The sequence below is a fragment of the Homo sapiens genome, chromosome 4, assembly GCF_000001405.40.
Source record: "Homo sapiens chromosome 4, GRCh38.p14 Primary Assembly".
Classification (NCBI taxonomy): domain Eukaryota; kingdom Metazoa; phylum Chordata; class Mammalia; order Primates; family Hominidae; genus Homo; species Homo sapiens.
The window spans coordinates 107,245,412-107,269,468 of NC_000004.12; the positions used below are offsets into that span (position 1 = coordinate 107,245,412).

Here is a 24,057-nt window from a genome sequence, read left to right on the forward strand (position 1 = left end):
AGAATATTTTGTCACAGTACATTTTAAAGATATTATTCCATCTACTGTGTTTGGGTTTCTAATGCTGTTATTGAGTTGTCTGGGCCCTCTTTACCATTAATTTGTAGGTAATCTGTGAACACTCTTTCATTGCTTTTAAGGTGTTCTTTACTATGGTTTACTTTGTTTCACTGACGTAAGAAATGTCAGATTCAATTTTTCCCTATTTCATCTCTCCTCTATCTCTCAATAAGTATTTTGTTCTCATTAATAATCACAGAGCTAGGAATTTAATAAGCATGTAATAAATATTTGACATTTTTCTATTAATGTCATTTCAACTATCATGTAAGTATTATGTTATAACAAATTTCTCAAAAACAAGGAATTCATTTTTCATTTCTTTGGTATCACTTAAACAGAGCTTTGTACTCAGTGAAAGTGCTTAATGAATGACGTTTTATTTTCCCTTACTTCTTCTTTGATCTAATTTTTTCAGATTCAATTGCAATTGATATTGAATAAATTTCTCCACACTCCTTTCCTTCCCTTCCTCTTGTTGCTGAAACAAGAAATTGAGACTAATGATAAAATAAAAGCAAAATCTTAGGGCTTATATTTGTAATTAGGGTTTAAGTAGAAACCATTGTTCCTCTTTAGTTTTCATTTCTATTATGTATATTCAACAAGATCAAAATATCTAAGTTGCAAAGCATCTCGAGTTAATCTAAAAGGCAAAGTTTATAAGATCCAGTCTTACAAAAACAGTTTTTCATTCCAAATAATTCTAGAATTCATCTCAGTTTTCTTTGATAGAACTGAATTATTCAAACGATAGAAATATTTTAAGTAGAAACTTTTCTGCAACCAGCAAATGCACAAGATAATGCTAATATTTTTCTGTTGCATGACATTAAAACTTAAGTGAGAGGTATTGCATTATGATCTCACTGAGACAGAAATTGGGTAATCATCACTGCACTGAAGCACTACAGAAATAATCCACCTAGATAAATTTAGGGAGGATTAAATGATTTATCAGAGATTATATGCAAAGCAAGGTGGTACATTTTTTATTACATTTTGATTTTTCAAGAAATTTTCAGAACATAGGTGTGATTTTTCTCACCTAATAAACACAATTTAAAATGGCATAAGGAAGTTAAATATTTTTCCTATTTTTCACATAAACTCTTCATATTGAATATAAATTATACAATTTTATTCTGCACAAAATGGCCTGACTCCTCATGATTACAAAGATGAAAAGGCTTCATTCAATTGCATTCCTTCTCGGTAAGAAAGAAGTAAAATGTAAAAACTTTTTCATGAGGTCATTTTAGAAGAAGTTATCTGACACAGAACGAAGACAAAATAAACAGGAGCAATATTATACCTTGATAATTTTAAGATTCAGGGAAATGTACTGAATTATCTAAAAATATTTTGATACAGCAAGGATGAGCTGAATAAGAGATGGCTTGTGTTTTAGAAACATCTCCCAGCAGGGAGCATCTAGCATTCTCATAAGACAGCTCTCCACCTTCAGAGCTAGAAAGAATCTTGAAATCATCCCAACTTGTGGTTCTTGGACCCATGAGGAGCTGTGAAATTACCACAGGAGAGCCAAACCATGAAGAAATCAAGACCATAGACAAAATCAATATGTCTCACATATATCACTCTATTTCTAACGCATAGACTTGCAATTCTAACTGGAAATATATAAAGGAAACATTTCTAAATCCATAGAAATTATTGTCATTTTTTCCCTCAATCAATTGAGATAAAAAGTAAAATTTCCTAATGCAGGAGAATGAAACCTTAAAAGAGGTAAATGATGGATCTGTTTTTCCCCACCTTCTCCACCTCTTTAAATCATATTTATATCCATAATGTAAATTCAATGAAGGTGGAAATTTATGTCTGTCTTTGTTTACTGCTGCTTTTTATTTGTTTGTTTGTTTGCTTTAGAGACAGTCTTGCTCTGTTGCCCAGGCTGAAGTGCAGTGGTGTGATCATAGCTCATTGCAGCCTTGAACTCCTGGGCTCAAATGATCTTCCCTCTTCAGCCTCCTGAGTATCTGAAACTACAGACTACAGTCACAGGCCACCACACCCAGCCAATTTTCTTTTCTTTCTTTTTTATTTTTTTATTTTTATTTTTTATTTTTTTTTGTAGAGACAGGGTCTCACTGCATTGTCCAGGCTGGTTGTGAACTGCTGTATTTTTAGAATATTGTCTGACTTATAGTGTTTCAAAATGTCTGTTGAATGAATGAATGTTGATTACATTATCTTAAATCACCCAGCACTGGATATTAGAGAGCTTTAAATAAACAGCATGAAAAAACAAGTTACATGGAGGCTATTAAAAAGACAGCCCTGTTGTCTTCCTTTTTGGCAATAAGCTGTGTCTTAGTATAATAAATTGTTGTGTGTATATTTAGAGAATAGCTGTTCAGACTCATCACAATTTATTGCTTTTTTCCATGCTGAGATAAAGACTTATTGTGAAACATATTCACTTTTTGGTACTTTGGAGCCTGCCTGCTCCTGGGTGCCAATTACACTCTGGCAGGAGCTTGAAGGTCTCCCTCGAGCAGCTGGTGTCAGCATCACATAAAATATGCTCCTGAAATGGATCATTCTGCTGCTCAGGGAACATGCAATAGAGGCTTAGCTGAAATAAAGAAAGAACAAAGCTATGACATCCAAAAATAAAATCAAAGGGGATCAAGTTAGAGTTATTTATATATCCTGATACTGGACTCAGTATTCTAAACACTTCACAGCTGTTCAAAATTTGAGAAGAAGAAATCAACTATATCGCTAACATCTCCTTGGCTGGAGGGTACTTGGACTCAGTATATCTGTCCTCCATCTACTACTAGCAGCCCCTGCTACACTGACTCTGTCTCAGGTCTCAGCTTCAGTTTAAAGTTCTGGTAAAGAAGGCTAGATCTGATATCAGACAATGTGGGTTAAAATCCCAGCCATGTAACTTCTTGATTCTGTGACCTTAGATAAGCTAATTCACCTTTTAAATCCCTGGTTTTCCATTTTCACAATGGGAAAAATAATTGTTCTTGGCTTCTGGGGTTGTGGTGAGAATTCAATGAAATAAGCCATTCAGTGAAATAACCCAAGTAACTGAAGCACTCAGTCCCGCTTCTGGCTTATACATTTTGAATAAAGATTAACAATTACTGTTATTAAACTAAGGATATAAAACTGGGCCCATGGTTATTACACCTGAAACCTCCTCCTAACTCCAGTCAGTTGTAAAAGGATAAAACACAGAGAGTACTTAAACTTCTCGGGAATACGCACCTATATTTTCCTCTCCCAATGCCCACATCTCACTGTGACTCAATGTTGAATCATTCTCCCAGACTTGATATTTTCTTTGTATTTCCTAGTACTTCTTCACTGATAGTCAAACTCAAGATCTAATGATCCCCTAAAAAAAAAAACTTCACTCCTGGCATGCCTAAGAAATTGTTCTCTCTGTGCTCACATTGGCTCAGGCAGACTGAGGCAATGCGTGGAGGGGTGCCATTTCTTTGCTTTGTGCCATGGTTTCTTTCTCAGCAGAAAGTCTTGTCAAACCCCAGCCTAAATCCAGAATCTTTTTGATCCTAGAGAATTGTCAGTGCTTCATGGCCACTTTGTGATTTCCTTTTATTTTTCCAATACCACCTATTGTCTTGCTTTCCCTATTTTCACCATGCCATTCCTTTCTGTCTGCCTTTCCTCTTCTCTCTTGTGTTCTTATTTCTTTCCTATCACCATTCTTTAATACTCCCACAAAAATGACAGTAAAATTATCAACAAAACCATTGTGTGGTAACTTCTAACCTGGCACCCCATAGATGGATCCTAGAGGGTCCAGGGGTACCCTCAGAGTGTATGAAAAAATAGTCTGTGTGATTGCATGAGGGGAGAAGGGGAAGTAGAGAAGCACATGTGTACTTCTTTTCCTAAGGAGAAAGTATATTGTTTTCATCAGATTCCAAAAAATTCTATGATATTGAAAATGTTAACAGCCTTTGTTAACTTAATCTGAATACTATGGGATTATTTTAATATGCATTAATCATTAGACATCAAGAGATAAAAACATGAAGATGATGAATCTTCAACCAATATTTATTGTGTAAATGTTTAGGAAATAAAGGGGTCTCAACCTTTGCCCTCAACAAGTTCACAGTCTACCTAGGAAGAATAAGTTAATTTTAAAAACAAGAATGTTCCTGTGTTAGTTTGCTGAGAATGTTGGTTTCCGGCTTCATCCATGTCCCTGCAAAGGACATGAACTCATTCTTTTTTATGGCTGCATAGTATTTCATGGTGTATATATACCACATTTTCTTTATCCAGTCTATCATTGTGAGCATTTGGGTTAGTTCCAAGTCTTTGCTATTGTAAATACGTCTGCAATAAACATACGTGTGCATGTGTCTTTATAGCAGCATGATTTATAATCCTTTGGGTATATACCCAGTAATGGGATTGCTGAGTCAAATGGTATTTCTGGTTCTATATCCTTGAGGAATTGCCACACTGTCTTCCACAATGGTTGAACTAATTTACACTCCCACCAACAGTGTAAAGGTGTTCCTATTTCTCCACATCTTCTCCAGCATTTGTTGTTTCCGACTTTCTAACGATCACCATTTGTGAGAGTTGAACAATGAGAACACATGGACACAGGGAGGGGGACATCACACACCGGGGCCTGTTGGGGGGTTGGGGGGCAAGGGGAGGGAGAGCATTAGGACAAACAACTAATGCATGTGGGGCTTAAAACCTAGATGACGGGTTGATAGGCGCAGCAAACCACCATGGCACATGTATACCTATGTAACAAACCTGCGTGTTCTGCACATGTATCCCAGAACTTAAAGTATAATTCAAAAAATTAAAAGGAATGGGGTATTTAATTTTTATTTTATTTTGATTACCACTTTTGTTGTATTTTATGTTAATAAATAGTCTGTGCACAGCAAGGCTGGGAGAGACTGGAGGCTGAGGTAGGACAATCTTAAAATAGCCATGCATGATATAACAAAGGAATAGGAAATAAATCTTCAGAACAAAGCAATTTGGGGGAAAATGTGAATTTGGAATTAAGAAAATCACATTTCAAATTATCACTAAGTAATCAGATAAGAAAGTAAACAATTGAAGTGGAGCTGGGGTAAATTTAGTAAAGTTGACACAGGTAACTGGCGTCCCTCACTGAGCTGCATACATAACTCAATGTGGAAAAGAGCCATATTTCAAGAAATGAGAAAATGAATGATTTGTCAGATGTAAAGGCCAAATGGTCTGAGAGAGAACAGAATAGAAGGTCAAAGGAAGACTTCTTTAAGTGCAGAAGACTCGAGCATATTTTTTGTTTTTTGGCAGAGAATGAGCCACCAGCCTTCACTTATTTCTTCATTTTTTGGAATCATAGGCTTAAAATAACATGATAGTTGGTTTCCTTTTGATTACTAAAGGATGTATACAGTACTAAGTTATAAATGTTCTAGGAAGTTATGGAGACTATGAAGAAGCTGCACCTACCACTTGTTTCAGGCTCAGTGACTAGCTGTAACAAACAAATGGAAGTAACTAATAGCAGACCCCGAATCATTCATTCATCGCAAGGAAAAAAAAATAAACACTAATCACTGTAATTATTGCTGAGCCCACAGACGCAGTCTGCAATACAAAATCATTTGTCAGCATTGTTTGCTAAATGTAAGTATACAAAAGTGTACACAATTATACAATGATGAGAATAATAGATGGGTTTTAATCATTCAGTCTGTTGGGACACTGATTTTTTAAAAAAATCAAAAGTTAAGAAATAGAAATTTGTTGAATGAGATAAGGCTTTAGTGGCACTAAGAATAAGTTCTAGAAACTGAATTTCTGGTTTAGTTTTATTAGAGCCAGGCCACCATAGTGGGTATTCTAGCATTTCTGCTTGTGGCTAGAGCTCTGGGTAGAGCTCTTGGAATCTGTCATTTTTTGGTATAATCTCTTCATTAGATACCTTCAGCTGAAGTTTCCTTCAATTCCTATATATAATAGGAGAAGACAGAGTCTCCAAGAGAGACCGACTCTGACCCTGATGACTATAGATTTTATTTATTAAAACAATAAAATATAGCACTATAATATTTTCATATCAGTAAATATCCTCTGCTACTAATGAACCTCAAAAAACTGTTTTCCCGGATCTGCATGAAACATACCACACATGATGCAGACAGTGCCTAAATATTTATACATTAATATATTTAGGAATATGTTAGATGTAAGAATAAGGTACAACTGGTGGTAGTTATTCTGGACAAAATCCTGACAGAAAATTGCCAAGTGATTTATTAAAGCTATAAAATTTCACATAACTCTATGAAAATATATGTGTGTGGGAAATACAAGGAATTAGCCAATTAGGTAGAGATAAATAGATGATAGATAGATAGATAGACAGACAGACAGACAGACAGATAGATAGATAATCGACAGACAGAAGAATATCCTGAAGTTTTCTTAACATTGTTACATAGCTTTGATAATGGAAAAATAGATTGTCTTAAGAAAATCAATTTGAGGACAAATCTTGGATAGTTTCCATGGGCCTAAATGAATGAGACCATAATTTGGCTTATGAGGCTGAGATTTTTAAAATCAAGACTTGTTTTATTGAATATTATAATATTTTTGGATGGTTGGAAGATTAAAAACCAAATTCTTTATTGTAGATTTAGGTTTTTGCTTTGCTTCTGATTTTTTTGTCTTAAAACTTTTGATTTTCATTATTTTATTTATTTGTTGGCACCTTTCCTCAGGAATTTCGGAAGAGAAGAAATGAATGGAGATGAAAATCAAACATTTAAACTCCCAGAACAACTTTTTAGAGGCAGTAGAATCCAATAATTCATTCTTTTATTTTTTAGTTAATACTTTCTAAGTGCCCACCCTGTGCCAAACATTGCATTATGCATAGATTATAGAAGATAAGTCTTTTTAAAAAACCTCTTCTAGTCACTATATATAGAGATGTGTATGTATGTATCCACTGACAGATAATAAACAACTTTATGCATTCTAACTCAGTTTCTGCTTACTCAGTTGGAAAAAAAATCCTATTACAGCATTGCAGTCTGGATATAAAAGTTTCAAAAGACTTTTTCCCCTTCTGATTTCCATTCTTCAATTGTTTAAAATAATTTTTTCAAGCCCTATTTCTAACCACAATGTGCATCCTCTGTAGTTTCTTTGGCAAAGCAAATCAAAGAAGGATTAGCCATTCCAGACATTAGTCTGAATAGATAATCCAAATCTTCCCACTGATTGTCAGACAGGAATGCAGATTGCCCGCCCACTGCGCACTGTGATGCCATTCAATGACAAAAAATTGCTCTTGGACTTTGAAATTGGGGGACCACAAAGTTCATCAGAGTACAGCTGAACACACTCTCAGACAGACACAATAAATCACCTGCTGGTCATACACTCCCTTTGTTTACTTGCCTCCAAGATAGTCCATTACTTTAGCCCATTACTAAATCCTTGATTTCTGACACCAACCATCCATTCCTGTGAAGCTCCACCCTTCCCAAGTTAAGATAAAATGTCTTCAGAGATGGTTATTTTGCAGTTTAATATTTTAGATAAAGCTGATGGTTGTTTTAGGACTTTTTGGTGGCAAGGTTAATATCATTTAGCTTGTTCATATCTTTTATTTATTGATTGGTTTGTTCTGAGCTTGAGAAAGGCACAATTCCTTTTGGCCTTATTCATCCTTTCATCCTTCCAACCTAGGAATCTGTGTGTCTCACTGAATATAGAACTGAGTTGGATCAGTTACGTACTTTAAAAATAGCTGCACTGTGGGCATAGATTACTATGGGAACGTTTTTAGACATTTCACATTCTTCCACAGTGGGTACCATAAAGTCATGGCCATGAAGGCTTGCTGAGAACAGCTAATGAGTATCCACATTCCAGTCGAGAGGTACTGTTCTCAGCATTATTTGGCTTGATTGTTGTGTTTCCCTCACCGGTTGTCATAAAGTGTTCTGAAGCTATTCTAAGCATATTCTATTTTCACAATGCCCTCCAAGAACCTTAGGTGAAAGGCAATGGTGACAGAAACAAACTAATATAATTATGTTTCTGTCAGGAAAGGTGCCAACAGATAAATAAAATAATGAAAATCAAAAGTTTTAAGACAAAAAGACATCAGAAGCAAAGCAAAAACCTAAATCTAAAGAATTTGGTTTTTAATCTTCAGTAGTGTTATCATTCAATTAAACTTCAGAAAATTGTAATGACTATCAAGAAAAAAAATGTTCTGGAAAGATTTATGGTTCTCATAAAAAGATAATGCATACATAGAATAAAAGCTTAAGATCCCACATGATTATAAACTCAGCTATTTTATTAACTTAATGGACTAATGTGTTTGCCCGTGTGTGTGTGTTTCTGGTTTTCGTTTTTGTTTTTAGACTGGCAACTGTTTCAATTATGCACTGACTCCTGTACCCGGTCATCATGACCTGAATATGAATTATCACTGGCAAAACTTTAGGTTACTTAGGCCAGCTCTCAATTCAATTTATAGCTGAAAACTATACTTTATACTAAAAATTGTATTTTATACTAAAAATTTAGTATACATTTTTTCCCAAGAGAAAATAATACTGAATTTTCCATGAAGGATGCCATTGAACAACTATTTAGGGTTATTGTTACTTGTTATCTATAAGGAATTTTTGATAATATATGGTCTCTAATGGTTTTATTTTTCCTCTATGTAGCTTTATCCACCTGGTTTTACTTTGAGAAGCTATCTTTCTCAGTCTGTGAACAGATTAGATAAATCTTGATTCTATCCTGCTTTCCTTTGAGACTTGCTTTTCCAGTTTTATTTCTCTTAAAACCTGGTACAGTTAAGAAGAGTGAAGGTGACTAAAACTTGGTTCATGGAAGTCCATCTCTTAAGATGCTTAATTTTGAGTTAACTACTCAAGGACAGCATAGGGTCCTTTCCCTTTTGGGTGGGACATTATTTACTATGCCACTCCTCTATCACTTATACACTGAGTGTCACCTCTTTTGTTTATTCAACATTTTTTCCTTGTGTGGTGCTTGGGTTCTGTGGGACACCTACTGGGTCATAAGGTATACATCTATTTCATTTAACAGAGCAGCAACATAATCAACAAAACTGACAAATTACTCAATGCCAGGCTGTTCTAAATGCTGTAAACAGAAACAAACAAAGTAAATCCTCATGAAGCTCATATTCCTGAAAAGAAGATAGACAATGAACAAATATACAAAAAGAGATGAAAGCAGAGACGGTGGGTTGGAAGTAGAATATACAAGTACATATAAAGTCTAGCATTTGTACTTTAAGTTTGAATGAAAATCATAAATTTGGGTTCCAGCCACAAAACTATGTAAAGTCACGTAGAAAGTGTGCATAGATGAAGACACAGTCTGAGGACTGACTGACACTTTCAGATTTAGAGATTAAAAATATTAGAAGGAGCCAACAAAGAAAACAAAAAATCAATGGCAGGTAAGAAAGGAAGAAAACCTAGAAGCAGTGTCCCAAAAACCAGCCTTTCAAAAATAGACAACAGTGTCATGCTGCAGACTGAAATTAATTTTGAATTTAAAAATGTGGAGATCATTGGTGGGGCTGATAATATCTCATTTGATACAGTTGTACTCAAACAGTGGAATGGAGTTCTCAGAGAATTAAAGAAGAGGACTTAAAGACAGTTCTCTTTTCAAATCATTTTGAGGATATTTGCTAGAAAGTGGAGAAGAGAAATGGGGCAATGACTGGGGGGTAGAAGTGGCAAAAGAGAATTTTCATAAGATGAAAGATAATACAGCATGCTTTTAGGTTACTGGGAATGAGTCAAGCCAGTGAAGAGATTAAATATTATGATTCAGGAGAAGGAAGAATTCCTTAAACATTATTATTAAGTTACTGAGAAATGATGAGATTTCAAATACAAGTGGAAAGTGTACCCATGACAGGAAAATGGACATCCATGCATAATAACAGAATGGAACCAAGAGATTATGGGCACAGACGTAAGTAGGGGAGATGGTGAGGAAGTGGGATAATACAGTGAAGGAAAATGTGGAACTTTCCTTTCTTCTATTTTCTGCATCATTTGGCTCCTATCTGACCTTGAAGCCTCTTCTACCCCCCACTCTTTAGCCTCCCCTCACCCACTTCCAATAAGCTTTTTATACTTCAGAATATAAACTGCCTGCACAAGTCCATTTTTTCTGCCTCCAGGTCTTCATTTGTCTGGCTATTTACCCTCCGCAATCTGTTATCTAGCAATCTTGCACTTATTTTTCAGTACAAGTCTTAGCGTAAATTTCTCTGACTCATCCAGTAGCCTTGATAAAAAAAAAAAAAAAAAAAAAAAAAAAAACTTAGTGTATTGTATCATTCTCCACAAGGCTGTGCCTGCAAAAGTACCTGTTAAGTTGAACTCAGTCATTTGCTGATTCCAGATACATATCCAATACCTACTATGGGTTAGGCACTATCTCAGGCATTGGGATACAGCCATGCACCAAAGACCTTGACTTTATGAAGCTTACATTCTAGTGGTTTTCCTAGAGACCACGTCTTTAATGAAACACCATGCCACTAAAGTGATATGTCAACTTTAGAATTAACATTTGCTTATTGTCTTGGTCTCATTTTCCTCTCTGTGGCCAGAATATACCTAATCAGAAAACAAGTTTGTAACTGTGTGCCTAACAGAATTATGACTTAAAAATGGGGTTCTGCCGCTCAAAATCCTAATAAAAACCACTATGTTTTGAGGTTTCTCCCCCTCAGGATATGCATTTCTAAAGCTGCCATTGCATTTATGATGGAAATTATGGTAAAGCACACATTTCTTAGAACCAGCTGAAAACTGACATGCTGGGGCATTGGCTGCTCCATGCATCTTTGTTTTGTTTTTTTTTTTTCTGTTTTGTTTTGTTTGCTTGTTTTATTTTGTTTTGTTTTGTTTTGTTTTTGTCTACAAGGATCTGGACACATGGATCAGCATCTTCATACTCATTAGATTCATTATCCTTTCCAACACTGAATTGTTATCCACTGGAAGCCATTAATATTTGTAAGATAATTGTCAAATCTGAAGTAAAACTTGCATATGATTATATCCCCTCTCCTGAAAACAAGCAATCTACATTTTGCTATTAACAGGATTATTTAACACAGACATGATTTTACCACAACAGTGATCCATCATAACCAAGAAGGAAAATCTTACACCACCCTGTTCTAAATTACTAGAATCACTAACTTTATATCTCATTTTTGGAAGCCAATTCAAGATGCAAGTTTGTTTTCCATTACCTGACATGAGTTTAAGAAATTGATGAAACCATCTCCAATACAGCTTATGTAATTCAAAATATTGGCTGCATGTTGGCTCCAATTTATTCTCTGGGCCCAGGGAAAGTTTGAGCAAGACTTTGGAACTGTCTATTATTAAAGAAATGCTGGGAATTTAAGTGATCATTGAAAATTGGTAAAATCTAAAACAAGTTTTAGACTTAAAATGGCACTTCTTCATCGTCAAAATGACATTTAGAATATTTATTCTGAACAAATTCCTCTACTCCTTCTTGCTTTCAGGATTTAACTGCAAGAAAATTAAACACATTGGGTTACCAACTCCTTTTTCTCATAGCACAGCATTAGGTATTGTCTCTTTTAGGATGAATAAGAGAGAGAGAAGGGTCAGTTACCCCACACCCCTGTCATTCTCTCCTCCATCTAGGATTATTTTAATGAAGGGGAGAATCCACATCAACATATTTCAATTAAGGGAATAGAGGTCTGGATTCTACCTGATGCATCTTTCCCCATCCATTAAAATCTGCTAGTAAACAGGAGAATTGTCATTACTCTTCTTGCATCAGTCTTGCTCAACTGCAAATCCCTCAGTCTTTGTCTGCAAGGTCAAAGCAGGGAGTAACTAAAAGGTAACTGCAGAGGAAAGAAAGACAAAGATAGCCTTCGTTCCTACCCCAAATTTCCAGTGTGCCCCAAATACACACACACTTATGTATCACCTAATGTCACACTCAGGCCACCCTTACATTGCTTCGTTAGATCAATTTATTTGGAAAGGAGAAACAAACCCTCAATACTCTGTTACTAGGAAGGATAGATAGCAATTGGTTAAATAACTTTTGATTTGAATAACTTCTGCCCATATTATTTCATGTATTTAAACATTGTGAAGTCATTTTCCCAAAGTGATTAATTCCTAAATCTTTCCTTCCTAGAGTTGTTTGTTTGTTTAAAAATATTTTATTAAAATATAAAATATAAAAAAGTTTATGTTTAGCACTGCATAAACTGTCACAAGCTGAACCTACCCATGTAACAAAACATCCAGACTAAAAGGTAGAATAGTCTCAATATCTCAGTCACTTACCTGCTTCCTCACTGTCACTTCTCTCCCAAAGTTAATTACTATCCTGATGTTTAACAGCACAGAGTAGCTCTGCCTGGCCTTGTACCATAGAGATTTTCTTTCATATCTATCTAAATACAATAAAATATCATAATTGTTGCTGTAATTGCATCCAGTTTTGTTCAGATGTAGCAAAACTTAACATATTAGAATTCAGTTTTTGAAATAATTGATACAAGTAGGAAGTAAATAAGCCAATATATCTACTTATCCAGGGAATCCTGAAATTCTTTCAAAATATTTGATTTTTAAAACTACCTTGTGGGATTTTCTTCACTCATTAAAACACAAGTAGCTGATCTATATTTGTTTCCACTTCCGTCTCCAAGCCCCCCAGTAGACACAGTCTCCTTTTTGAGAATCAAATACTCCCATGCTTCTCTTCTGAATAACTTCTGAACTGTGTACAACCTTATGGTAATCATAACCAATGTTTCAGGAACTAATGCTAAAATGAAATGTATCCGCAGTTTCCGACTGGGGAGGGGCACTGTTTTTCTCTGTGCAGCTGCTTTGCTTTCTGCCCTTCTCAACAACATCAGTACCAGCATCAGTTTTCTCCTGTGGTTTTTCTATTGGGATCCAGCCAGGCTTCATCATTTCCTGTCTATCCAGTGATCCATCCCAGCCCTCATAATCAGCTACTCTGCTGTGACCCACTCCTTGGCTCCTTACCTCAGGCTCAGGAGACCTTGGGGCTGGAAAACAATGGGTTGTTTCTGTCCTCTTTCTCTGATTTTCTTCACCCTTTCACATGGCCCCAAATGAATATTAATAATCACATTTTCTTACTCAGAGATGTCCAGATATGGAAAGAGAATGTCTTTACTTTGGTTTAATCAGATACAAGGACAAGTAGACTTGTGGATACTGCCCACTTTTGTAAGTGATCTGAACAGCAAGCTTTGAAGAGCTGATAGACTGGCATTTCCTCAAAAGGTACATTACTTTTTGTGATAAATATTACGTTTAGTAAAAGTACTACCTAATGAATATGTCACAAAATGTGTAAGTTCATCACTGCTAATTGCATGTTCATTATAAAGCCTTTTCTATATATCTTTTTGGTTAAAATATTTCCCCTTTGCACAGCCAAAGGGAACCTTTCCCACTGTATTCTATGTTACGATGGAGAGGAGATGAGAGTGACATTCACATAGACTATAATTGGTATTGTGCCCATTTAAATTCAGAATACTGGTTGCAAGTTAGATATGGTAAGACACCATAATTATATTATTTTATTACACCCCCAGTATTTTTGGATAAACAATTCAACATTCTCTGCTGGGATTGGCAGTGTAGCCTACCTTAAAAATAGGAAGAAGAATTTATAAACTGGAACAATTATTATTGAATATCAGCATACTATCACTAATAATAAATAAATAGCACTAGAATGCTGTTATTCTCATGAAGTACTACTTAATTAGTAGAAAATCTTTGTAGAGCTACATGTAAACATTTGACTTAAAGCTAAAATGTGGCCTATAAAATGGCATTTAAGAATTCTAAACTAAGCCTGGTTTAGGATTCACACTGAAGTCCACTGGGGATGAAAATATGTATTTTCTTCCTTCAATTCACTAAATTATAGAAGTTTATATTCTAGGCAATTTCAGAATTGGAGAAACCTAACACTAACATTGCTGGATACTGTCATCAACAATTCACAAGAAAAATAAAACCAGGAACTTCATTGATTGAACAATAGCTATGCATATTCCTATTGAAATAATCTCACAAGACAGGAAGATGTCCTGTTTAAGTAAAAGCTTTCTGAGGAAAAAAAAACCTAAGTAAATTTTCATTGCAATAGCTGGCAGTACAGTCTGTTATGTGGGGTTTCAAATTAAATTTAAAGTTATTCCTAGCTGTCCTGGGGTCTTCATTGTTTAAAATTAGTGATTACTTCAATAGAAATCAAATATATGCTAGGATGTTCAGCCTAACTCTCATTCTTTAGCTGTTGGGTAAATATTTTTCAGTTTTAATATTTAGATCGCCAAAGACAGATATAATTGGTCTGGTTTATAGAAATATTTCATCATTTTCCTGGTCTAGCAATCAGGACATCATCTCTAAGTTAATGACAGTTTTACTTCACAGCACAATGCTATAAACCATGTGGAAATTTCAGATATTGATACTGACTAGACTATGACAAGGAAATATGCTATAAAGAAGACATGCAATTCACCCTTGGTAAAGAGAAATATTGTAGAGTCAATCTAGTTTATTATTTATTTAGCAGAACTAGTTTTTCAGTCCATTATAACGCCCCAGACCAGGAAAAATTAACCAATTTATTCGTTTTTCCAGTTTTCAGGCTATCTACGATATGTAAGGCTCTGTATTAGGTACTGGAGTGAAATTCAAGGATGAATTAGACATAGCCATTATTTATTAGACGCTCACATTCTGCCTCTGGTAGAAGATGGGACTACATCTTACAAAGCCATTCTTCCTCAAGAAATTTTTTGCTAGTTTGCTTTAGGAATAATTCAAATAGTTGGGCAGACATTGACTTTCTTAACACTATTAGACAAAACACATGTACCAAGAAAACTAGAGCATTTTGATTTCCCAATTTGTTCAATCCTGTTTTATTGAAACAAAGATGGGAAGAAAAGCAGATGGAAATAGGAATCACAAAATTAGACAATGTTTATTATACGCCTATTTCAGACAAATCTCAAAAAGTGCCTTTAGTAGAAAATAAAGCCGTAAAGAAAATGGAGAAGGAATGGGAAATGTATTGGAAACGATAACAGGGGCTTCGAGATTAAAAATTGTAGAGAAAATTTCTCATCTGAGGCCAATGGAATTAAAAACAGAATACATTTGCTGGACTAGATATTATTAGGTAAGAGGATGAGAAAATAAATATTCCAACTCGGCGAAAGCTAAATGGACAGAATGCAATTTAAGAGCTATTTGGGTTGAGAGGGACAGGAATGACAGAGAGAGTGGAAGAAGAAGAGGAATAGTTGAGTATCAGCGACAGAATTAAAGGTGCAGAAAAACAACCATGGTCTGTTTGAAGAATACACCAACTCGTGAAGAATAAACACACAGTAACAGCAAAAAAAAAAAAAAAAAAATACTATTTATAGAGCACACATATTGTGTCACTTGTACATGGTGGTCAATATACTTTTTTTATTAAGGAAGACTTTCTTCCAAAATATAAACAACATGAAACCATTTGAGAAGTGGTGAATAAGCAATCATTTCACATTCAAATGTCTATCCTATCTTTTGCCAGATAAACTTTCTCACCAAAACATTGCTTATTCACAAACTTTTTTAAAAAAAAAAAGACTATCAAAATGTACTTAACCCACTGTTCATTCTTTTTTCATTGTTTATCTGAATTGAGATTTGAGACAAGACTGAATTTATGGCTCATACAAGTAAATCTACATTTCAAGGTAGATCAACTCCTTTCCAAAGTATCCCGATACAAGATGCAGAACATTCCTGAGGGATTACACAACTGTTTCTCAGCCAAATGTTATAGGACTTCCACAACCTGAGGCAGTAATCTTCCTGAAAGGCACATCTTGGAATAACTAATTACTATATTTCATAGTTGTAAAACTAGAAAAAACAATCAAGGCAAAAAGTTCACGTGTACATGCTTTCTTCGATTAATGGAACAGTTCTGATCTCACTGGCCACCAGTCAAGATGAACCAAAGATGTTCATCTTCCAGCAACCACATAATTTACATAACAATGACATAAGTATCATCAACTGCTGTTGAATGAAGATATATGTTGACATGTGTCATAAAAATCCTTAAACCACAATGAACATCTTCAAATATGAGTGTTGCTTTACTTAACCAAACTCTGAGTTGCATTCATTTGATATTAGAAACACAAAATTCAAATGTGAAATAGGACCTAAACATAAGTTGTTTCTGTGGTAAGAGCAAATACAAAATTGTAACAAAACACCCAGGATTTTCTTCCCTTCTTTAAAGCTAATGAGTATTCTATTAAATGTGTTAAGTGTGCAAAGATTTAAAATAGAAACTGTTTAATCCATATGATTCCAGTTAAGCTGGTAGTAGTGGTAAGATAGGTCAAACGCAGAATTTCATTTTACATTTAAAGTCAGTTTTAGGTCTGATTGGAAGTCATATATGTATGACTTTCTATATCTAATAGCACACATATCTACATATTTACACATATATACAAATGTGTGATATATATACACATATACATATATACATATGTGCATGTATACACAAACATTCTTGCATGAAAGAATTGTTTAAATAATGAGAAGGCCTACAAAGATTTTCTGTACACCCTTATACTTATAATCAACGATAATGTATTATATCCTTAAAAATTACCTAGAGGGTAAATCTGATGTTATTTGTTCTGATCATGATTTTATAAATTGGAAAATGTAGTTTTAATGAGTAACTTAAAATGTTTGAGTTAGAAAAGCCTTCGGAAGAATAGTAAAATATGCTGGATTAAGTGATATTTCATATAATTACTCAACAATTCTAACAAAAAAGTCAGGAAGGAGATTTTGTTTATGAAGAAGATCTAAAACCAATGCTTTTGTGAGGTGCATTAAAATAATACTTTATTTCCAGGTGCTCCAGTCCTCTAGAATTACAAAATAATAACATTTTCACAATACTCTGCATCAGGTATTTTTCTAACTGCTTCACAACTGTTAACCCATTTAATCCTCACAAGAAACTTGTGAATCAGGTACTATTTTTATTACCTCCATTTTACAGACAAGAAAACTATGGCACCAGAGAGGTGAGAAACTTGAATTAGTAAATGTCAGATTTTGATTTTGAACTAAGGTAGTCTGGAAACAGAGTGTGTGATCTAAACTACTGTACACAATGCCTTCCTCAAAATGCCATTATATGATTCTCTCCATTGTGTAGGAAAGGAAAACCAACAAAAACTTTCTAGACTACATTTCTTAGTATTTTTAAATCCAACGTAGGTAAAGGTAACTACTCAAATATCTACCTTTTCATCTATTGATAATTCCCTCTTGGATGTCAAAAATGATGCCATTTATAAGAATGGGTATCTGGGAAAATGTGGTATTAAAAGAGGTTTAGAAAATTGAGGTTGGCTACTGAAAGAAATAATATTCTAACTTCTACACTTGAAGAGTTTGCACATTTCTTCATTGATTCAGCAAATATTTGTTGAGCATCTACTACAGAGATATAACTATAAACCAAAACTTTCATTGTGCAGCATTCATCTTAAAGAGAGTCATTATAGCTAGATTGGAGATTATGACAAATTATCCATTGGTTTTATACAGGAGACAGTTCAAAATTAAATAAATGGACAAGTCTAAAATTATAGATTGGGGATCTCTAATTAAGAGGTAATCATAAAAATTTTGAGAATTGATGAATACTCCTAAATTGTAATAAGGAACTTTAGGACCTGAATTCATTTTTAGGAAATAGTCAAAACTGGAGGAAGAGAAAAAGAAAATGAACGAAGAATGTAACCAAAGATTTAAGAAAACCACAAAGAAAGAGTCAATTCAGGAAATATATTAGAAATAGAAGGTTTAACCAAGTGTGTCAAATATGGCAGAATGTCAAAGAAAAAAAGGACTTGGCAAATCTTAGATTAATAGCCTAATATTTCCAGAGAAAGATTTCATTAGAGTAGCAAAGTAGAAGGCAAAGAGGTAAAGAGAAATAAATACAGTTAAAGCAAAACATCCAGCAACACAAAAAAAGAAGCAGTTAAAAAAATGAAAGAAGGAAGGAAGAGGGAGGGAGGGAGGGAAGGAGAGAGGAAGAGAGGAAGGAAGTAAGGAAGGAAGGAAGGAAGGAAGGAAGAGAAGGGCTAGAGAGAAGAGAAAAGCCAAAATATGTTATATTGTCATGACCTTTTAATGCCTGAGTGAACTATTAATGTCTGCTATGGTAGCTTCATAATGTACCAACTTGTCTAGGTTGAACTACATTTCCCAGAATCCCCTTTTCTGTTTTCATGCAGGGTGGGTCACAAGAAGGATTCCTACAAAATATTTGGGGCACCAAAGTAAAATAACAGCCATTTATAACTCACACATTTTGTCACTTATCTGCTGATTCTCCTCAGAGTATCCCTTTCCTTTCTTCCAGACCTATAACCAGAATCAGGTCCCAGCAAGACCAAAAGTGTGATTTACAAAATGTGACCTATAATTTGGCATACACATCAAAAGAACTGCATGATTTTTTTAATGTATATTGACAGAGGCCCAGGCAATATGTATTAGAATGCATCTTAAGTTTATGAGATCAAAGTGGAAGGCCTAAAAGTCAGAATAAATTTATTGATATGAGAATAAATTTATTGAAATAGAGATTTCAGATTTGATATAGTAGCATGAGGGGCTAGGAATGGCTGTATAATTTGCTTGGTTGATTAACTGGTGCATAATAAAAAGGTAGTGTACATTAAATGAAGTTGATATCCCAGAACTTCCTTCATAGAAGTAGAGCAGGGGTCAGAAAATATTTTTCGGAATGTAATTTTTTCTCTTTTGTGGGCCACATTGTTTCTGTTGTGACAATTCAATTCTGCCATTGTAGCATGAAAGAAGATATAGAAAATATGTAAATGAATGAGCATGAATATGTTACAATAAACATTTACATCTATTTACGAAACACCTATTTACAAAATACAAAATTACAAACATCTATCTACAAAATAAGCAGTAGGCTGGATTTGCCTTAACACTGTAGTTTGCTGACACCTGCTATAGAGGAAGGTATCCAATGGCTTAGGGAGATTGGAATCTTAGAAGGAGTTTATCATGACTGATCTGCTCACCTACCTCATGAGGTTCCAGAGAACATGACCTTCACCATGGCTTTCAGGAACAAATGAGCTTCAGCATCCTGTAATGGCTCACCCCTGAAGGCCAGAAATTACACTGGAGACCACTATCATCACACTGAGATCTCTAAATATGATGAGAATAATGAGTTTCCAGGTGGGCAGGTGCTAAGGGGAGCACCGATTTTCCAAAGGCAAGGTGGGTGTTATTACTCTAATGGACCGTAGAGCCAAAGCACTAACCAGAATAGTCTGACTTACAAAGATGTTTGACATTAGCTATTATAGTTGATCATGATGTTCTTAGAACTGAAGTAAAAACAGCCTGCTAAAATAGCCTGCTAAAATCTTATTTGATTTGCTTAAGCAGAGAAGCTCTAAGTCTAGCGAACTAAAGTCTGACTTAAATGGTGAAAACAAAGAGGTACAGTTCTTCAATGAATTCCCAGTTTTGAGCCAGTTCACAGACCCAGAGGCCTTGAAATGAAAGTAATCTAGGACCCCTTGAGCCAGTTACAGTGTGATTCTGCATTGGGGAAGGAGAAATAATAAGATCTGGGGGGATTATTAGGCCTTGGCTCTGAACTGACACTAATTCCTAGAAACCCAAAATATCACTGTCACTGTGGTCCACCAGTGAGACTAGGGGCTTTTGGAGTTCAGTGATTAGTGAAGTTTTAGCTCAAGTCCATCTCATAGTAGGTCCCTGGGTCCCCTGTGGTTATTTTTTCAGATACAGAATGCATAATTGGGATAAATATATTCAGCAATTAGAAGAATCCACACATTGTTTTCCTGATACGTGCAACAAGGTCTATAATGGTAAGAAAGGTCAAGTGAAAGCTACTGGATATGCCTTTACCTACAACAGTGTAAACCAGGAACAACAGCACATTCCTGGAGGAATTGCAGAGATTAGTCCCGTGGCGGACTTGAGAGATGAAAGGGTAGTCATTCCTACCATATCCACATTCAACTCACATATTTGGCCTGTGCAGCAGAGAGATGGATCTTGAAAACTGGTTGGCAAGTAATCAGTTGTACATGGGATAGTTGTATCATATTAAACAGAGGCATGAATATGTTAGGGTCTTTACGCTGAGTTTAAAATGTAGTTTAAGGAGAAGTGTATGAGTGACAAGTTGGCAAAGGCAGATTGCAGTGGCTTTGTAATATGTCAGATTGCTGAAAAACTACATTTCCCAGAATTCCCTTTCCCATATTTGTTTGGTTAAGGTAGACCACAATAAAGATTCTTATGGGAAATTTGGATGACGGAAGTGAAGCAGCAGCTGTACATGTCACTTATCAGATGACACGAGGCAGAGGCCAGCCCTGTGACTTCTCCACCTTGCCGTGGATACTCCCTCAGCTTCTCTGACTTCTGGGCAAAGCCTCTGCAGGACGTGCCACCAAGGTTAGAGGAAAAAAACACGAACACAGGTTTTGGTCAATCCTCATGAACTACAGCTCATACTCATATTTCCTGGCTTGTTTTTATTCTCCCCACCTTAATTCCATCTTCCCTTTCTGATTGTCTACCTTGTGGAGTTCAAGCTCCCGCTTCAGACAAGAAGATGAAAGCCATACAAAGACTACTCAACCCAACCATCTCCCACAGTGACATAAGGTAAAACCTATTTAAAAATTACATCCTAGTTTTTCTGCTTCTTTGATTGAACACGAGCTCATACAGTAAAGAAAATAAATATTGGAGGCACTGGTGAGAGGTTTAAAAGCTGTTTTCCCAGCTTTTATAATTGTAATTCCCCAGGTGGGGAAAGTCTTTAGAATACAGGTGGAGAGATTTAGAGTAACAAGAAAAACTTGTTCTCTAAACTGAAGGGAAAGGAGATAATCTAGAAAGAGAAAAGTCAACATGCAAACAATATTAGATTTGAGAGTTCATTTTGTGGCACTTGAATTTGTAGAAAAGAGGGCTGGGTCTCCTGCAGCAGAAGAGACAGAATGTGACAATTGGGAGTTTGATGGTGGTAAAGGCTCAGGAAAAATGGTTTGAAGTTCTCTAAAGAGTAAATAACTACATATTTTTAAAGTATAGCAGGAGTGACCCAGCTGATAATAGATATTATGAATTCATCCTATCAATGTTTCTTTCCATATCCTAGCTCTGTATTTAAAGAGAAGACTGCAGACAGCAGGGGTAATTCAGAATGAAAGAGGCAGAGCAGAGGCAGAGCAGAAGCCAAGTCTAGGAGCCTAGGGTGGTCCCAGGAAGTAGCATTCAAATAGTGACATATGGTGACCATTACAGGTCAGGGTTCTACTAAGTTGGAATGGCTCTTTGGACGTTTCTGTATTGAGTGTCTAGCATGTTGTTGATGAGCAACAAACTCCTTGGATATTACAAATTGGGAGGAAAAAAGTAATCAGGAAAGACATTGTTAAAGAGAAAAGCATCAAGCTCAAAACTTGACAGTATGAGAGTGCTCTATAATGGTGAGTTCCTGAGTGTGCAAAGTAGAGATGAAGTCAATAATATGTGCTATAGTTTGTGCACACTTTTTCAGATAATCTGTCATTTCTTCTTCTAACCTATAAAAGCTCATGAAGAAAATGCCAGATTCAGCCTCTCAGTCTATTGTCTGATCTATGTTCTTTGGAAACAATTTCAGGTGCACATTTCTCTCCCTAAGCCTCCCTGAGCCCAACATCCTTAGCAAATGTTTTCCAGTATCCCGCTGTTTTCCAGAAACACCATTAGCCTTTTGTATATCTAATCCAAATCTTCTGCTATTTGTCTGTAACCTCTTACACATTCTGTCATTGCATTTGAATCACTTAAACCTGCATTAAAGTTTGATGAAGTTTAAGGGATATTTTTTCTCTAGGTTTACTTTACTTAATTTTCTTATGTTTAAGATTTTATCACACTTATTTTCATAAGTATTGAAGCTCATGACAATGAGTCCATTATTACAATGAAGATTCATATCAAAAATATATTAAAAAGTCAGTATCTAAAATTGGTCTATGAATACATGTGTCTTTACTTTACCTAAATTAATTATTTACTCACCAGTATCTTCTTCCCATAGGTAAGCACCTGAGTTCACCCTAGGATCAGGCCAAACTAGCAATCTGTCATTTGACTGCCTCTCTCCTCTTCTAATATTCCTCCTGAAATTTTTTCATTTTCATAAAATTTTTTAAGCAAAATGTTTCATGGAAGTCCTCTGTAGCCATTTAAAAAACTAATCTCTAAGAGACTGATGCTTCTGAGATGCAATCACTTTTTCTGCTTTTGCCATGTATGAATTGCATGCTGTGCCAGGTGTGGATTGTTAAGCCCTGAGGCATGGATCATATAGTCCTCCAGGGTGTGTTTTGGGTGTTTTGTTTTGTTTTCTTTTTTTTTAATACTGAGGACACAGCTTGTGTTTAACAAATAGCACATAACAATAGTGGATTTCATTTGCAGGTGGGATTATTTCATTTGAGAAATAGAATTTTTTTCATGTGAACTTGCCAACAAATTCTCCCTCTTCTCAGGGAGAAAATGTCCTAACCCACTCTGCCCCTGAATTCAGATTAGTTCAGATATACAATTTATTCTTAGACATATATTCTACAGTACATCAGGGTATTTAAAAAGTCAGTGATAATATAATGTTCCTGGAAATTATGATATACTGCATGATAACAGCAAGAGGTTATTACCACAAAGACATTTGAACACATTTTCACAATGCCAGACCAGCAAACAATTGATGTCCATAGCCATACATCTACCATCACCTTCTATTAAAAACACAGATCATACACATGTCTGGTATCTCCAACTTAACTCTATCTAGTGGAATGTCACATCAGTTTTTTCTTAACTGATTTGATTCATGCAGTATGCATTTATTGAGTGCTGACTATACATTCAGCACCATTTTTGGTAATAATGACAAGTAAATTAATAACATCCATGTCCTTCCTCAAAGAGAACAATTTTGGCCAGGCGCGGTAGCTCATGCCTGTAATGCTAGCACTTTGGGAGGCCAAGGTGGATCACGAGATCAAGAGATCAAGATCATCCTGGCCAACATGGTGAAACACCATCTCTACTAAAAATACAAAAATTAGCTGCGCATGGTGGCAGGTGCCTGTAGTCCCAGCTACTTGGGAGGCTGGGGCAGGAGAATTGCCTGAATCCAGGAGGCGGAGGTTTCAGTGAGCTGACATCACACCACTGCACTCCAGCCTGGTGACAGAGTGAGACTCTGTCTAAAAAAAAAAAACAAAAAAAAAAAAACAAAACACAATTTGATAGAGAAGACAGATGTGTAAATAAATAATTGCAATATGGCAGGGTGTGATAAATGCTCAGGCAGTAATTTTTACAAGGTACTGTTACAGGATCCTTGGGGTGTTGTTTCACCAGCTGGAAACCTCTCTAGCCAGTGGCACCTTTGCCCAAGTCCTCTGTAGCCAGTGGCACCTTTGCCCAAGTTTTGCTCTGGCCCACTGGGCTTCTTCTGCCCACTCAGTCTGGCAGGCTGCACTCAGTTTCTGCTACCAGCCTGGATCCCACACCTGCCAAGGGTCAGCCAGGCAGAGTGGCAAGGGGTGTGTAAGCGAGCCTGGGGTCTGGCAACTGCACAAGCCAGGCATGCTAGCTGAGGTGAGGTGGGCAGCTCTAGACTCCAGCTGCCCTGGGTGCCAGCTGC

General features: G+C 35.7%; 1 long non-coding RNA gene across 1 annotated transcript in view, besides 1 other annotated feature; it reads left to right on the forward strand.

Annotated features, from left to right (window-relative positions):
• Nucleotides 1-13,162: 13,162 nt before the first annotated feature.
• The window catches only part of LOC102725220 (uncharacterized), a 43,302-nt gene continuing 32,407 nt past the window's right edge, over nucleotides 13,163-24,057 (forward strand). Inside the window, exon 1 of the long non-coding RNA NR_188365.1 lies at nucleotides 13,163-13,463. This is a non-coding gene — a long non-coding RNA (uncharacterized LOC102725220). The remainder of the gene's footprint in view (nucleotides 13,464-24,057) is intronic.
• Nucleotides 23,491-24,050: an enhancer, noted in NCBI's record as "H3K27ac-H3K4me1 hESC enhancer chr4:108190059-108190618 (GRCh37/hg19 assembly coordinates)". NCBI's record gives its function as "activates a minimal SCP1, AML or CMV promoter by ChIP-STARR-seq in naive H9 embryonic stem cells {active_cell/tissue: H9 hESC(naive)}" and the evidence as "EXISTENCE:reporter gene assay evidence [ECO:0000049][PMID:30033119]".